General features: G+C 42.4%; 2 long non-coding RNA genes across 2 annotated transcripts; both read right to left on the minus strand.

Moving 5' to 3' along the window:
* Window positions 1-2,160: 2,160 nt before the first annotated feature.
* On the minus strand, window positions 2,161-6,355 carry LINC00280 (long intergenic non-protein coding RNA 280). The gene is made up of 3 exons (NR_046505.1): window positions 6,270-6,355; window positions 3,626-3,768; window positions 2,161-2,379 (listed from the first exon to the last, which is right to left on the minus strand). It is a non-coding gene; the product is annotated as a long intergenic non-protein coding RNA 280 (long non-coding RNA).
* A 5,096-nt stretch (window positions 6,356-11,451) lies between these two features.
* On the minus strand, window positions 11,452-14,863 carry LOC107987353 (uncharacterized). Its single transcript, XR_001756087.3, has 3 exons — window positions 14,695-14,863; window positions 14,246-14,318; window positions 11,452-11,714 (listed from the first exon to the last, which is right to left on the minus strand). It is a non-coding gene; the product is annotated as an uncharacterized LOC107987353 (long non-coding RNA).
* Window positions 14,864-16,363: the final 1,500 nt, after the last annotated feature.

Genomic DNA, 16,363 nt, shown 5'->3' on the forward strand with positions numbered 1-16,363 from the left:
CAGGCACATGCCACCAGGCCTGGCTGATTTTTTTCTTTTTTGGTATGTTTAATAGAGAGGAGATTTCACCATTTTAGCCAGGATGGTCTCAACCTCCTGAACTTGTGATATGCCCACCTCATCCTCCCAAAGTGCTGGAGTTACAGGTGTGAGCCACTGTGATCAGCATAGACCATTCTTTTAACTTGCCTGTTTCTGGGATCTGAAGTGACAGAGTAGGCATTCTGTGATTCTGCTAATTCCTACCCTCTCCACAAAAACAAAAAAACAAACAAACAAAAACTCAGCTCACAAATATCCTTAGATAAGGACACCTTAGTGAATGATTCTATAACTTGGGATTGAATCTATGACACCTTTTTTGACTGTAGAACATAGAATAGCCATACACATAGGATAAAAGAACAGTTTTAATTTGAAGTTTTTTTTCTCCCCAAGCCAGCACAGTGTTGCATATGAAAAACATTTCCCTGGACTCACAGTTTCTTCAGATTGGAGAGAGTTGAAAGTGCACATTCAGGCTTTTCTTTTCCATTTTGCAATTCTTCACATGATGTTCTCTCTAGTCTTACCCAGTGGGTAACATCGAGGGTATCAGACAACTGGGGTCAGGTAGAAACAAACTACATGGATGGGGCTCACATTGACCATGAAAGTAATCTTACTGGTGGCTTTGCATTCCAGCCAGCAGAGGAGAACCACCAGAGAAACTAGGCAACAACATCATTCTGCAGCAACCAACCGTGGTTGATTGGTCTGCCAGGCTCAAATCATTGGCCAACTGCCAAATCCCACCCTGGCTTTCTCTGCAGAACTTCCCAGGCTGTGACAAAGAGGCAGCTTGGTAATTACCCACAGAATGTTCATGTGACCCCACCCAATCTAGGCTATCATACTTTTGACCATCTTAGCCCTGTGTGCTCCACCCATCCCCAGGCTGAATATCAGAGGCAGTTTAGGCAGTTTAGTGGTTAAGGATGAAGTTGCTGGCTCTAACTGGACCCAGAGGGCAAGTAGCTTATATAATAAGCCTTGTTACCTCTGGAAGGATGTTCACTTCTGATATATCTAATGGAAATCACTGGGGTGTTAGAATCTCTAGAGCACATGATTTTATTGAGAAACCGAGAATCCCAGTCTCAGTTCCAGCTCCTCCCTCTGCTGCTCAGAAACAACTACCATGCTGGGGAACTTGCCTGTCTGAGCCAATGAATGTAGTCTATCCAGGCTCTCTCCAGCAGAAAATGGATCTAGACTCTCCAGCCTTTGTTCCCTATTGGGAGAACCCACTCTCAGCTCTGGTTCTTCCCTATGTCAGGGAATTATAAGCTCTTTGAGAAACTTTCTGGGCAAATGCAACTTTCTTAGCCCAGACCAGGTTCTAAATGATCTGTTCAACAGCAATGTCAAGGGAGCTGATTTTCAGCCCCAGAGCCTCCTGCTGCAGGCAGAAAACTAGCCCATTTGTGCAGAGACCTTCCAGTAATCATCACAGCCAAAATTACAGCCATGCCATTCTCTGTTCCACAACAGAATCAAAGTGAACCCGGTCTCAGCTCCAGCCTGTCCAATTTCAATTTCTGAAATTGAATCATTACTAATAAATAACCTACCAGCCAAAAAAAAAAAAGCCAAGAAACTGACAGATTCAGGATGCATTCTACCATATATACAAAGAGCTGCATCATATTCCACTGTGTGGGTGATCCTAGATTGTTCAACTGGTTGTGAATGTATGCTTATACACACACACAAAACGCACACAACTAGGTTTCATGTTCTGTCAAAAAGCAGCAATGGAAATGCCATGCTGGTCTCTGGTATTATCTGAAGGCTCATTGGGAAGGACCCATTCCTTTGTTTGCATTACATTTTTGCCAGGAGCCTTGTCCACAATGGCAGTTTTTCAGTGGTTTCTTACAGCTCTGTAGATAACCTGCAATTATGTTTATTTACATGCTTTACAATATCTTCGTTAGTCTTTATCTCTAAACTTGAGGCTGGGTACAATGGCTAAAGTCTATAATTTCAGTACTTTAGGAAGTTGATGTTGGAGGATCCTCTGAGCCCAAAAGTGTTAGACTACAGTGATGTATAATTCAGACTGTTGACAGAGCAAGACCCTCACTCTAAGTAAATAAATAATAAAAATACAACTGATAGTAGTATTTTTGTTTTACCATTTGGAAATACAAATTTCCTTGATCAAATACATGAATATTTGATAGCCACTAACACAACACATTTGCTTGTGCATGGGAGCCGATGCAGGAAAGCAGAGGGATTGGATGCTCTTTTCTTCTTAATGCCTGAACGCGGGTACTATGGTGATAAGTGGTGAGTTTGGAACAGGAAGGCTTTCTGCCAGAGCCATCAAAGCTATGGGAATAAAACTCTCCACAAGTCAGGAAACAAAACAATCATTACTGGTAATAGTAAATGGAAAATCTTTTGCAGATTTGATTGCACTTTTAATTTAATATGGACTAGGCAGCATAATACAGACTACCCTGCCCCTAATAGTGTGCAATTTGATGACAAATGTCAATTGTGTTTGGTTGTTGGAAACTAGGTTTCAGCTCTTCCAAGAAGCTTAGTTACATGAGTAATTTTGACAATACTCATAGTTACTTGAGTATTGTCAAATATACACCAGCTTATTTTAACATTTCTGTTAGTCCACCAGAGACCTAAATATTATTAATATTATTTTAAACATAAAATATTAATGTAAACATAGTTCAAAATTCATGTGGATAATGAGTAAAATCATGTTTTTATTTTTATTCATTTCCTTTTGGTTTCATGCCTTTCATTCTCTTTTTCTCCCTCCCTTCTTCCCTCCCTCCCTTCTCCCTGTCTTTCTTTCCTTCTTTCCTTCTTTCTTTCCTTCTTTCTTTCTTTCTTTCTTTCTTTCTTTCTTTCTTTCTTTCTTTCTTTCTATCTTCTTTCTTTCTTTCTTTCTTTCTTTCTTTCTTTCTTTCTTTCTTTCTTTCTTCCTTTCCTCTATCTCTGTATCTCTGTTTAATATTTTTAGATGGAATCCTGCTCTGTTGCCTAGGCTGGAGTGCAGTGGCATGATCTCAGCTCACTGCAACCTTCCCATCCTGGGTTCCAGCAGTTCTCCAGTCACACCCTCCCGAGTAGCTATGACTGCAGGCATGTGACAACAATCTTAGCTTTTTTTTTTTTTTCTGCACTTTTAGTAAAGACCAGGTTTCACAATATTTGCTCAGGCTGGTCTCAAGCTCCTTTCCTCAAGCCATCCACCCACCTTAGCCTCTTAAAATGCTGGGATTTCAGTCATAAGCCACAATGCCCACCCAGTTTTATGTGTTTCTTTTCTCAGTGATCTCTCCTGTCTATTTTATTATTTTATTTCATTTTTATTTCTGAGACAGTGTCTTGGCTCTGGTGCCCAGGATGGAGTGCAGTGGTGTCATCTTACTTCACCGCAAACTCTGTCTCAGCGTTTCAGTGGATTCTCCTGCATCAGCCTCCCACATAGATGAGATTATATTCATGGGACACCAAGCCTGGCTAGCTTTGCTATGATATTAGACATGGGATCTTGCCATGTTGGCCAGGCTTATCACAAACTCCTGACATCAAGAGATCCACCCACCTTGGCTTGCCAAATTGCTGGGAGTGCAGGTGTGAGCCACCATGTCCTGCCTCATATCTGTTTTAAAGCTCAGTTGATAAGCAATATTGTGTTCCTGGAATGCTTTATGATTATGAAACCACTATAGCACTGTTATTTAGCCCCTTTGGATAAAATATGATAACACACAATACATACAGACACAGACACAGACACAGTCAGTGATTAAAGATCAGTGTAGGCCAGGACCTAAAATGATATATGAGTTGCTGCAGTTGACTAAAATTAAAGCAGACCAGAGTTGGCACATACCCAGAAAAGAGATGTGAACAGAGTCTTTCAAAGTACTCTGTCAGATACATGTTAGATTATTCTCCAGCCATAGCAAAGGGAAATTAAATATCTGTTGTGTTTAGAATAGTCTTGATTGTTTGACTTTTCCAAGGTATTAGCATTCATGAAGTTGGCCTTTAAAGCTCTCTAAAATTACTCAAATCAGTAGACAACTCAGTTTTTCTAGGAGTCTAAAGTGCTTTTCAAAATTATCAGAAAGTTAGTGGCTTCAAACAATAATTATAATTTATTAACTCTCAGTCTCTAAAATCTTCCACAGTCTCTCAGCCAAATGATTGTGGTTCAGGGGCACTCAGGAGGATACAATCTAGTGATGGCTCAGGATGGGGACATTGCCAGGTGTCTTCTTATTTCCCTGGTGCCATGGCTAGCATAACTCAAATAGTGGAGGTTGGGCTGCTGAGATCCTCAGGCATCTCCTTTTATTTCTATGAGTCTCTCCATGGGATGTCCATTCTGCATAGTGTTATCAGGGTGTTAGACTTCATGATGTACTGGTCTGGGGCTCCTGAGGGGTTTGTCCCCATGACAGCAGGAGACTTAGGCAGAGCTGTGTCACCTTTTCTAGCCTAGGCCAGAGGTGGCCCAATATCCAGAAAATGCTTTCACTGTTTTCTATTAATTAGAAGCAAGTACTGTGTTCTGTCACATCAGGAATATTTTCAAATTGGTTTGCAAAGAATTTCAAAGTGTGTTTTAGATCATTACAGTGGCCATGCCTAATAATTACTTATTTTTATAAGTGTTGGATGGGTTTTACCCAATGTAATATCAGATACAGACTTTTAAGCTTGAAACCTGTGTCATAGCTCTGAACATTTGGTTGTATGTTGAAATAACTCTCAAGCAAAAATTGATTTTGAAATTAGCACTATAAATAAGTTAAATAAATGAGGTAAAGTCATAAATATCTGCATGAAATGCTTATAAACAGGTCAGCCTTAAAAATGTCATGAAGACTAATATGCCACCCTTTTATTATTTCTATGGATATTACTTGGACTGGAGGACAAGGACTCAGGGGTATGCTGGTCAATCTCTGCACCTGGAAACAGTGGCTGGGGCACCAGGAGTAATACTTTGAGCCATGACCATGTAGTGAGGACAAGGAGTCCATCTGGGTTAAGGAGAGTGTCACTGTATATATATATATATATATATAAACACACACTATATATAAAAACACTATATATATAACACTATATATATATATAAAGCACAATATCAGAAACTCAGTAGTCATAGTGAAATCAAAAAATAATCACAGTCAATTTGATCTCATACCTAGACTGAAATATGAAACTTCAAAAGAAAAGAATGTTAAGAACTTTCGGCTTGTCAAAATTTTCCTACATAGATAAAATTATTGGTGACTTTCTCTCACTAGAGAACATAAACAAAAATCGATGTTTTGTATATGTGTAAATGAAAATATTTTTATTTCTATCAGTTATGACATGCAAGTAATAAAGTGAAAGTACAATAATAAATAATAAATTATATAAGGAAATTTCTGTGTCAAAAAATTTCATTGACTATTAATTTTATAAAACCATAGAGAATGCTTCATGAAACTACATTATACAGTACTTTTTAGTATTTCACTTACATTTTAAATAATCAACAAATTAAAGGAAATTCTGAATCATTATTTCTTACCAATATCATTATTCTACTCAAGAAATTCTTCTGATATTAAATATTTTAAATAAAACATTAAAAACAAATTGTATTCACTGATATCAGCTTTTGATGAAATAATACTTCTGTATTTGTAATCATGTTAAATATATCTTTCTCCTCACAGTGGATCTTTTGTAACACCAGTGTTATTATTTTCTCTGATACAAACCCTGTGATATCTCAAGGCTTTACTGTGTCCATACATTACATACCTCCAGAGAGTAGGATTCAAAGAGATGGAAAAATTATATTTGTGACCAAATTCTAGGAAAGGGAATGATAAAATGGGAGAATAATTTCTAAATTTCTAACTGTTCATCAATGGATTTGGATATATTTAGGTATAGACAAATATTTGCACACTGCAAGTTTGCACATGTGTATTTAAATTTATATGAGATACCCATAATGTATGGGTTGTGTAATCTCTTAATTAATTCTCAATTTTACATGTGGCAAATTGATAAGAGTTTACCCTCATCAAATACGCAATTTGAAGTACTATACTCCATTTGATGTAAAGCCAATAAAATCTCTGTCAACATTCATTTCAATTAATCCAATAATGTTAACTGCTGATAACTTCATTCTCCCTGTCCCCTGTTAACAGCTGAAAGTTGATTCTCACCTTAATTCAGCACTCAGGGTGTCTTCGTCAAGAGACTGTCACCTTGCTTTGGATTGTGACCTCTGACTCCACCACTTTCTTCCTGTAGCAGTCCTACCTTTGTGTATTTAATGAACTTTGTACATCGTTAAAAAATAAAAACGCAGTGAAATGTCAGGCCATGCTGTGAAATGTTCCAGTGTTTCTATATCTCAAATTGAACTTTCATGTTATAGAAGATAAGAAAAACAATTCATTTATTAGTATTCAGTCCAATGCACCCTTTCTTATTAATACGCCAAACCTGTCCCTTCAAAGCACTGACATTCAAGCACAGCTAGACGTATCAAAATTTATTCTCAACAATAACCATTATGTTAATAACTGTTGCCCAGATCTGGACCCTGCCTGTGGAATCTTTGGTTGGAAATTGCTATTATGGGTCAAACTAAGAGAATGACTATTTTTTGGCATAATTACTGCTGTCATCTTCCTGAAAAATATCACGTTAGATGGCAGCTTTTAGTTAGATCCATTCTATTAATTTTTAATATCCATCATTTATGATATTGCACAAGTAAAGACCTTTGATAACTTAAATTGTTAGCTGAGAAGTGACTAAAGTAACTCACAACAATTCAGACATTCATTTACCTACTAGAAATGCCATACATCATTAACTTCCGCTGAAAACAAAGTTGAAAAATTACAAGTGCTAAATTGTTTACTAAAGTATGTATTTCAGGGCAGCTAAATAATTGTGATGAGAGGCAGTCCCATCCACCAACAGCCCGATGAAAGAACCCTTCCACAATGAGAAGGTTGTGCAGATGAAATGAAACAGAGGCTGGATTACCAGGCAAAAGCCAGACATGGTTGCCTCTTTCTCATCCCACAGGAATCATGCAGCCATCCAATAAAAGTGGGAGAACAAGAGTTTCCTTGTTAGCAGCTATAGCTGGAATTTATAGTTTTAAAACTATCAAAGCTGCCCAGTCTTTAAAACTTGACAGTATTTTGAAGGAAACAATCACACAATGGATTCCCACGTAGGTCGTTCTTCATGGAGCAGAAAACGTTTAGTATGGAAAATGGTGAGCCACACCCAGAAAACCCTAGGCTGACAAGGAACACCAAAATCATGAAAAGAAGAGGGAAGTGTGGAGGCCACATCCCACCCAGCATCAGTCCATCCAACTCCCATTTGACTATGGGTATGAAATCCCTCAACTTGGGAGTTTGCCAGGATGGCCCAATTTTGCATCTGAAATGTTCCCTACATATTGGAGAACTCCCACATGAACACTGTGCCATGTTGTAAACTGCTTGAGAAATGAAAGAAATGCTGTGGTGCTGTTGGAAGCAACTTTTGTGTCAACTATCTTCACATTTTTTGCAGGTGAATGTGTGGGTCTCTTTCCACCCCTCATCAGATTGTATCCCAACCCCTATTTAACCTTGTTGTTGTTCACATTCTCTATCCCAAAATGAAACCACAAGATGATGAAAGAGTAACCCCTCATGACCTGAAGCACCTGCTAGGCTGGGAAATGAATTCGAAGTAAATTGAAGGTGGACATGACTATTAGTGTCTCTCTATGGGTTGGCCCCAGGACAATGAAACACTGGAAGATGTCTCTTTGTGTTTGTGGTGTGCTTCTCTTCTTTCTAGAAGAGTGGCTGTTTTACAGATGAGAGTAATTTGGATTCCGGCAGGTCTGAGCCAGCATCCCAATTCACTGCAGATTCAAACTCCACAAAATGATAAAGAAAAGGATGGACAGCAGCCCAAGCAGAGCCACAGACAGGCCAACAAAATGTTGGAAGACTGAAAAAAAAAAAAGTGCTGCAGTGCATTAGCCACATTGCTTTAAGCAGATTCTACTTATAGGTGCACACACACACACACACACACACACACACACACACAAAGCCACACACATACACAGACATTCAACATTCACATTACTTTCATAGAAACACACATCCTGGCAGCTTCTGAGGCTGCGTGGCTCTGCACGAAGCCCCATCTGGGAGATAGCAACTCCGGGCAACACAAATGGGCTGTACCTAGAAATCACAGTGGGGCAAATTTCAAAAAGACTCACCCTTACAATGTCTAGGCAGGTCTGATGCATCCTGCAAATCTTTTTGAATCGTTAGGAATTCCACAGTTTATTCCTGGGGCTCTGCTTGATGTTTCTTTAGGCAGGCTAATGTCTGTCCTCTCCTAGAACTATGGGAATATCCTGTGGACCCCACACAGAAGAAGGCAAGAATCCATGGTCTGTGCACCTCCACGAAGGGCTACTTCTCTACCTTATGGCAGGGACTTGTCGCTAGGCAATGGTGGCATTCATTGTGATGCTAGCCAGAGCTCACAGCTCAGGCCTGGTGCCCTGAGACTAGTGCATTGCATTGGTGAGGCAGGCTCTGGTGTCCTGTTGTCAGAGCTGTCAGCCTTCCTAAACAGAGGAAAATATTATAGGCAGTAGTGGCCTGATGTCAAAAAAAATGATGCCTCTGATAAACTCTGCAAAACTCTAAAAGTCTCAGCATTACCGCACCTTCAGGCAGTCTTTGTGGTCAGGTCCCACTGAACAAGGCAGTGTTTTGAGACTGTGAGGTGGTCCATGGAAACGATATTCAGACTCCATTCCTGAAAGAGGCTGTGTCAAAGAATCTTTGCCCATGGGGATTGGAATATAGTCTGATCAGAGGTTGAGGGGTCTTTGGATGATGGAATCATACCTGAGATTCCAGAGGTGGGTGTTAGGAAAAGATGGTCATGCCTTCGACCTTGATGCTTCCCTTCATTTTGGCCCTTGCAGTCCTGTCTCAGAAAGGTAGGAACCACAACACAGCAAGTCCAAGATGAAGCAGTGTTCTTACACCTCGGACTCTCTTCTCACAGGTGCAGAAGAGGTTCAGACAGTGTCTTCAAGGCCAACTGTGGTGATTACAAGCCTGAAAAGGCTGTCCAGTAGTGCTATTGAGAGGCACTGTGGATTCTCCATGAGAATAAAGATAAATCAAGGCTCAACTGCTAGAATGAGCTGCCTTGTGTTGGAGTCAAAGCAACATTCAAAGATTCCTGTCAGCACACAAAAAGCCTTCTCCAATTTGCAAAAAACCCAGCCTCCAAAAACAGACCTGACCCACAACCTGGAGTGCTGCCAGCCTACTCAAAATCCCTTTTGCTCCTTGAAATCTTTGGCAGTGAAAAGATCTGCGGTGAGAGGCAGTCTCATCCAGCAACAACCCAATGAATGTCACACACAGTGAGAAAGGATGTGCAGATGCAATAAAATATATTCTAGACTCCCACTCAAAAGCCAGTGGGGCTGCCTGTTTCTCATCCTATAGGAATTATGCAGCCCTCCAATGTAACTGGGTGAACAAGTTTCCTTGTTGACTGAAGTAATGGGAATTTATGGTTTTAAAAGTATCACAGCTGCCCAGTCATTAAAACATGACAGTGTTTAGAAGGAATCACTCTTGCAATGGATTCCCATGAGGGTTGTTTGCAATTAACTGAAAAATTTTAAGTATGGAAGACGTTGAGGCAGACCCAGGATACCCTAGGATGATGAGAAACATGGAAGTCAGAAAAAGAAAAGGGAAGTATGGAGTCCACCTGCCACCAAGCATCAACCCATCCCACTCCTATTTGGCTCTGGGTATGAAAGCCATAAAATCAGGGGTTTGCCAGCATGGCCCAGTTTGCATTCCAAATGTTCCCTTTGCATTTGAATACTCCCACCTGAATACTGGGCCATGTTGTGGACTAGTTGTACAGTTAAAGGAATGTGGGTATGCTGTTGGAAGCAAATTCTCTGTCAACTGTCTTCATGTGTTTTGCAGATGAAGGTGTGGGTCCTCATTCACCCCTCAGAAGATTGCATCCTCATCCCAATCTGATCTTATTTCTGCTCACACTCTGTCTGAGAATGAAATCCCAAGATGATGGAGGAATACCCGCTCAAGACCTGTAGCACCTGCTCAGCTGGGAATGGAATTCAAGGTAAATTCAATTGGCACTGCAGATAGGACTGCTAGTGTCTATCCCCGGATTGGCCTCATTACAATGAAACACTGGGAGATGTCTGCTTTTAGGTGTGATGTGCTCCTCTTCTTTCGAGAAGAGTGGCTGTTTTTATAGAGGGAAGTTGATTTGGTTTCTGGCAGGTCTTAGCCAGCCTCTCAATTTACTATGTATTCATAATCCACAAAAAAATAAAGAACACAGAGCCCCACAGCCCAAGCAGATGCACGGACAGGCTATCAAAAGGTTAAGAGAGCAAAAACAAACAAACAAAAAGAAGCACTTATGTGCATTAGCCACATTCCTTTAAGCAACCTCCATTTACAAGTGCACTCACACACACACACACACACACACACAATGCCAAACACACACACAGACATACAACACTCACAACACTCCCAAAGAAACACACAGCCCGGCAGCTTCTGAGGCTCTGAGGTTCTGTAGGAAGCACCATCTGTGAGAGAGCAACCCTGGAGAGCACAGTTGGGTTGCGTTCCAGACTCAACCCTACAACATCTAGGCAAGCATGAAAAATCCTGCAGGTCCTTTGGATTTTTAGGTATTTCGCGGTTTATTCCTTGGGCTCTGCTTGAGGTTTCTTAAGGTAGGCACACGTCTGCCCTCTCCTAGGATCATGGGATCATACTATGGACCCCACAGAGAAGACAGGCAAGAGTCCACTGCTGACACAACCTCCAAGGAGTTCTCCTTCTCAGCCAAGCCTTGGAGGCTTGTCTCTAGGCAGTAGTGCATTCATTGTGATACTAGCCAGAGCTCACAATCAGGCCTCATGCCCTAGGACTAGGGCGTACTCATTTGTGAGGAAGACTAAAGTGTCCAGCTGTCAGAGCTGTCAGCCTGCCTAGGCAGAGGAAAATGGTATAGGCAGAGCAAGCCCAGTACCAGAAAAAAAAGGCTACCTGTGAAACCTACTGTGGGACCTTAAAAGTCTCAACTTCCCAGGACCCCTTTTGTGCCATCTGTGATTGCTTCCTGCTGGAGAAGGAGGCATTTTAAGACTGTGAGTTTGTTGCTGGAAACTTCTACTCTAATTATATTCCCAAAAGAGGCTGTGTGCAAGAATCAAGTCCCATGGGATTTGGAATATAGCCTGGTGTGTTTTTTAGGGTTCTTTGGGTGATAGGATCATACCTGAGACCCCAGAGGCTGGCGTCAGTGAAAGATGGTTGTTCTCTTTACCACACTGTCTCTCTTCATCCTGGGCCTCACAGAGGCTCTCAGGGAAAGGCAGTAACCATGACAACGGCAAGACCAAGGTGGAGCTGTGTTCTCACACCTCTGATTGGCTTCTCACAGTTGCAGATGATGTTGAGTCAGTGTCTCAAAGGCCGTCTGTGGTGATAGCAATCCTGAAAAGGGTGTCCAGCAGTACCATCAAGAGCCACTGTAGATTCCTCATGAAAGCAAAGATAAATCAAGGCTCACTGAGAGAATGAGCTGCTTTGTCCTGGGGTCCAAACAATGTTCAGTGATTCCTGTCAGAGGACCCAAATCCCTTCTGCAAAGTGCAAACAACCTCAGGCCCCAAAACGAGACAATGACCCACCACCTGGAGCTCAGCCAGCTTTCCTGAGGTCCCTTGGCTCTCTGGGCTCTCTGAAATCCTGTCAGCTACATAATCTGTGGTGAGAGGCAGTCCCATCTAGCAGCAGCCCAATGAAAGAGCCCTTCCAAAATGAGAAAACCATGTAGATGAAATAAAACTGAGGCTAGATTACCAGGAAAAGCCAGACATGGCTGTCTGCTTCTCATCCTACAGGAGGAGGATCCACGTCTATCTGATAGACATGGGATAACAAGAGTTTCCTTGTTGGAGGCTCTAATGGGAATTTATGGCTTTAAAACTATCAAAGCTGCCTAGTCATTAAAACGTGACAGTGTTTAGAAGTAAATATCCATGCAACGGATTCTGATGAGGGTTATTCTTTGTGAAATGTGAAACGTTTCGTGTGAAAACTGTTGAACCAGACCCATTAAAACCTAGGCCAAGGAGAAAAATGGAAGTCCAGAAAAGAAGAGGCAAGTGTGGAGGCAACATCCCCACAGCATCAATCCATTTTGCTCCCATTTGGCTTTGGGTATGAAAGCCCCCAAATCAGGATTTTGCCAGAATAACACCAATTTACACACCAAATGATCCTTGCACATTGCAGTCTCCCAACCTGTACACCAGGCCACAGTGTGGACTGCTTGTGTAATTAAGGGAATGTGGGGATGGAGTGGAAAGCACCTTATGTGTCATCTGCCTTTATTTTTTTGCAGGTGAAGTTGTGGGTCTCCAACCACTCCTCACCAAATTGTAGCCTCACCCTTATATAACTTATTGCTGCTCACACTCTTATGTACGAGGATGAAATCCCAAGACTATGAAGGAGCACCTTATCGTGACATGAAGCACCTGCTAGGCTGGGAGCTGAATTCGTGGTAAATTCAAGGGGCGATGTGGACAGGACTGTTAGTGTCTCTTCCTGGGCTGGCAACTGGACAATGAAACACTGGGAGATATCTGTTTTTTCATGTGGTATACTCCTTTTCTTTCTCGAAGAGTGGCTTATTTATTTATTTATTTATTTATTTGCTGGGGGAGTTGATTTGGACATTGTTGGGTCTCAGCCTGGCTCCCAATTCACTGCAGATTGATAATCCACATAAGAATAAAAAACACTGAGCCCTGCAGCCCAAGCAGAACCACACAGAGAAACCACCAAAAGTTGGCTGACTCCAAAAAAAAAGAAGGGCTAAAATGCGTTAGCCAAATCCCTTTAAGCAGACTTCACTTACAGGTTCATATGCATACACACACAAACACACAATGCCACACACATGCAGACATTCAATACTCACAACACTCCCACAGAAACACACACCCCAGCTGCTCCTGAGGCTGTGTGGTTGTGCAGAAAGCCCCACTTTGGAGATTGCAACCCCAGGGAACAGAGGCAGGAGTAATTGAAAATCACAGTTGGGCAAGTTTCAAAAAGACTCACTTCTACAATGCCTACACAAGCCTGAGTAATCCTGCAGACCCTTTTGTATCCTTAGGAATTTCTCAGTTTATTTCTGAGGCTGTGCTTGATGTTTCTTCAGGCTAGCTCACGTCTGACTTCTCCTGGGATCAATAGACTATCCTGCGGTCCCACAGAAAAGACAGGCAAGAGCCTACGGTTGACACACCTCTACAAAAGTCTCGTCCTTCACCAAGCTGAAAGGACTTGTTACTAGGCAATGGTGACACTAATTGTGAAGCTAGCCAGAGCTCATAATCAGGCCTTTTGCCCTGAGACTAGCACATGCACATTCATGAGGCAGGCTTGAGTGACTGGCAGTCAGAGCTGTCAGCTTGCCTTAAGAGGGGAAAATGGTATAGGCAGAGCCGGCATGCTATTGGGAAAAAGGCTGCCTGTGAAAACACACTGCAGGACCATAAATGTCTCTACTTAAGGGCTCCCAAAGCCATCTCCATGGATGAGTACCACTGGAGGAGGAGACATTTTGAGAATGTGTGGTGGTCACTGGAAACTGCTCTTCTGACTCCATTCCTGAAAGAGGCTGTGTGCCAGAATCGGGTCCCATAAGTATTGGAATACAGTCAGGTGTGTTTTTGAGGGTTCCTTGGGTGATAGAATCATACCTGATACCACAGAGGTTGTTGTCTGTGAACGATGCCTGGGCTTTTGATGTCATTGCCTCCCTTCACCCTGGGACTTGCAGGGGCTCTTTGGGAAGGGCAGGAACTAAGACTAAGGCAAGTCCAAGGTGGAGCAGTCTTCTCCCACCTCAGACTGAACACTAGCGTGTGGAGATGAGGTTGAAACATTGTCTCAGGGGCCATCTGTGGCAATGGCAAGCCTGATAAGTGTGTCCAACAGTGCTGTTGAGGGGTACTGTGTCTTCCCCATGAGAGCAAAGATAAATCAAGCCTCACCTGAGACAATGAGCTGCCTTGTGCTGGCATCAGGCAATCTTCGATGATTCCTGTCAGAGGACCCAAAAGCCTCCTGCAAAGTGCAAACAACATCAGCCCCCATAACAAGACAACAACCCACAACCTGGAGCACAGTTGGCCTACCCAAAGTCCCTTTTGCTCTCTGAAATATTTGGCAACCCAATAATCTGTGATGAGAGGCAGTCTCATCCAACAACAGCCTAATAAAAGAGTCCCTCCACAATAAAAAGGCTGTGCAGATAAAATAAAACATAGGCAAGATGACCAGGCACAAGCCACAAACAGCTACCTGCTTCTCATCCTACAGGAATCATGCAGTTCTCGGATAGAAGTGAGAGAACAAGAGTATTCTTGCTGGTGACTGTAACAGGAATTTGTGGTTTTGCCCAGTCATTAAAACATGACACTGTTTAGAAGAAAATACTCACGTAGTGGATTCCAATGAGTGTCGTTCTCCATGAACTGGGAAATGCTTAGTGTGGAAGTCATTGAGCCAGATGCAGGAAACCCTAGGCCCGAAGAGAAACATGTAATTCAGGAAAACAAGAGTTAAGTGTGGAGGCCACATCCCACCCAGCATCAATTCATTCCACTCCCATTTGTTTCTGGGTATGAAAACACTCAAACTGGGAGTTTGCCAGGCTGGTCCCAATTTGCATTCCAAATGTTCCTTGCACATTGGAATACTCCCACATGAACACCCAGGAATAGTGTGGACTGCTTGTGCAATTTAGGGAATGTGGGGATGGAGTTGGAAACACATTCTGTGTCAGCTGTTTTCACTTTTTTTTTGCAGGTGAAATTTTGGGACCTCATCTACCTTTCACCAGATTATATCCTCACCTCTATCTGTCCTTACTGTTGCTCACACTTTATGTCCCAGAATGAAATCCCAAGGCAATGAAAGAGAGCCCCCTCACAACATGAAGGACCTGCTCAGCTGGGAACAGAATGGGAGGTAAATTCAAGGGGTAATGCTAAAGGGACTGCTAGTATCTCTTCCGTAGTTGGTTGCAGGACAATGAAACACTGGAGATGTCTGAATTTTGGTGTGGTGTGCTCCTCTTTTTTCTAGAAGAGTGGCTTTTTTTGCAACGGTCGGTGATTTGGACTCCAGCAAATATCAGCTTGCCTCCCAATTCACTGCAGAATCATGATGCACAGAAACATAAAGAACATCGAGCCCTGCAACTCAAGAAGAGCCACACAGACAGGCCACCAAAAGGTTGGGACACTCAAAAAAAAGAAGCACTGAAGTGCATTAGCCACATTCCTTTAAGCAGACTTTATTACATACATGTGCACACACACACACACCATGTCACAGACACACACAGACATCCAACAATAGCAACACTCCTACAGAAACACAGTCTGGCAGCACCTGTGGCTGCATGATTCTGCAGGAAGCTGCACCTTGGAGAGAGCAAACCCATAGAACACAGGCAGGCTGTACCGAGAAATCACAGTGGGGCAAGTTTCAAAATGACTCACTACTACAACCTGTAGGCAGGTCTGAGGAAACCTAAGATTCCTTTGGATTTTTAGGGATTTTCAGGTTTATTCATGGGTCTTTGCTTGACATTTCTTTAGGCTGGTTAACCTCTGCCCTCTACTAGGATCAGGGGACTATTCTGTGAATCCCACAGGGAAGAAAGATGACAGTCAACGGCTGCAGCACCTCCACAAAGTCTCCTTCTCTGCCAAGGCCCAGGGATGTGTCTCTAGGCAATGGTGACATTCATTGTAATGCAAGCCAGAGCTCACAATCAGGCCTAATGCCTGAGACTAGTGCCTGTGCATTCATGAGCCAGGACCAGGTGCCCAGCTGTCAAAGCTGTCAACCTGCCTAAACAGAGAAAAATCATATAGGCAGAGCCAGCATTGTATTGGGAAAAAGGCTGCATGCAACATCTCACTGTGGTACCCTAAAAGTCTGGACCTCAGAGCCCCTTCATGCCTTCTCTGATGTGGGATCCCACTAGAGAAGGAGGAGTTTCAAGACTGTGATGTGAGGTGGTTCCTGGAAACTGCTCTCCTGACTCCATTTCTGAAATAGGCTATGTGCAAGAATCAGGCCCCAGGGGCATTGCAATA

Source organism: Homo sapiens, chromosome Y, assembly GCF_000001405.40.
Source record: "Homo sapiens chromosome Y, GRCh38.p14 Primary Assembly".
NCBI lineage: Eukaryota > Metazoa > Chordata > Mammalia > Primates > Hominidae > Homo > Homo sapiens.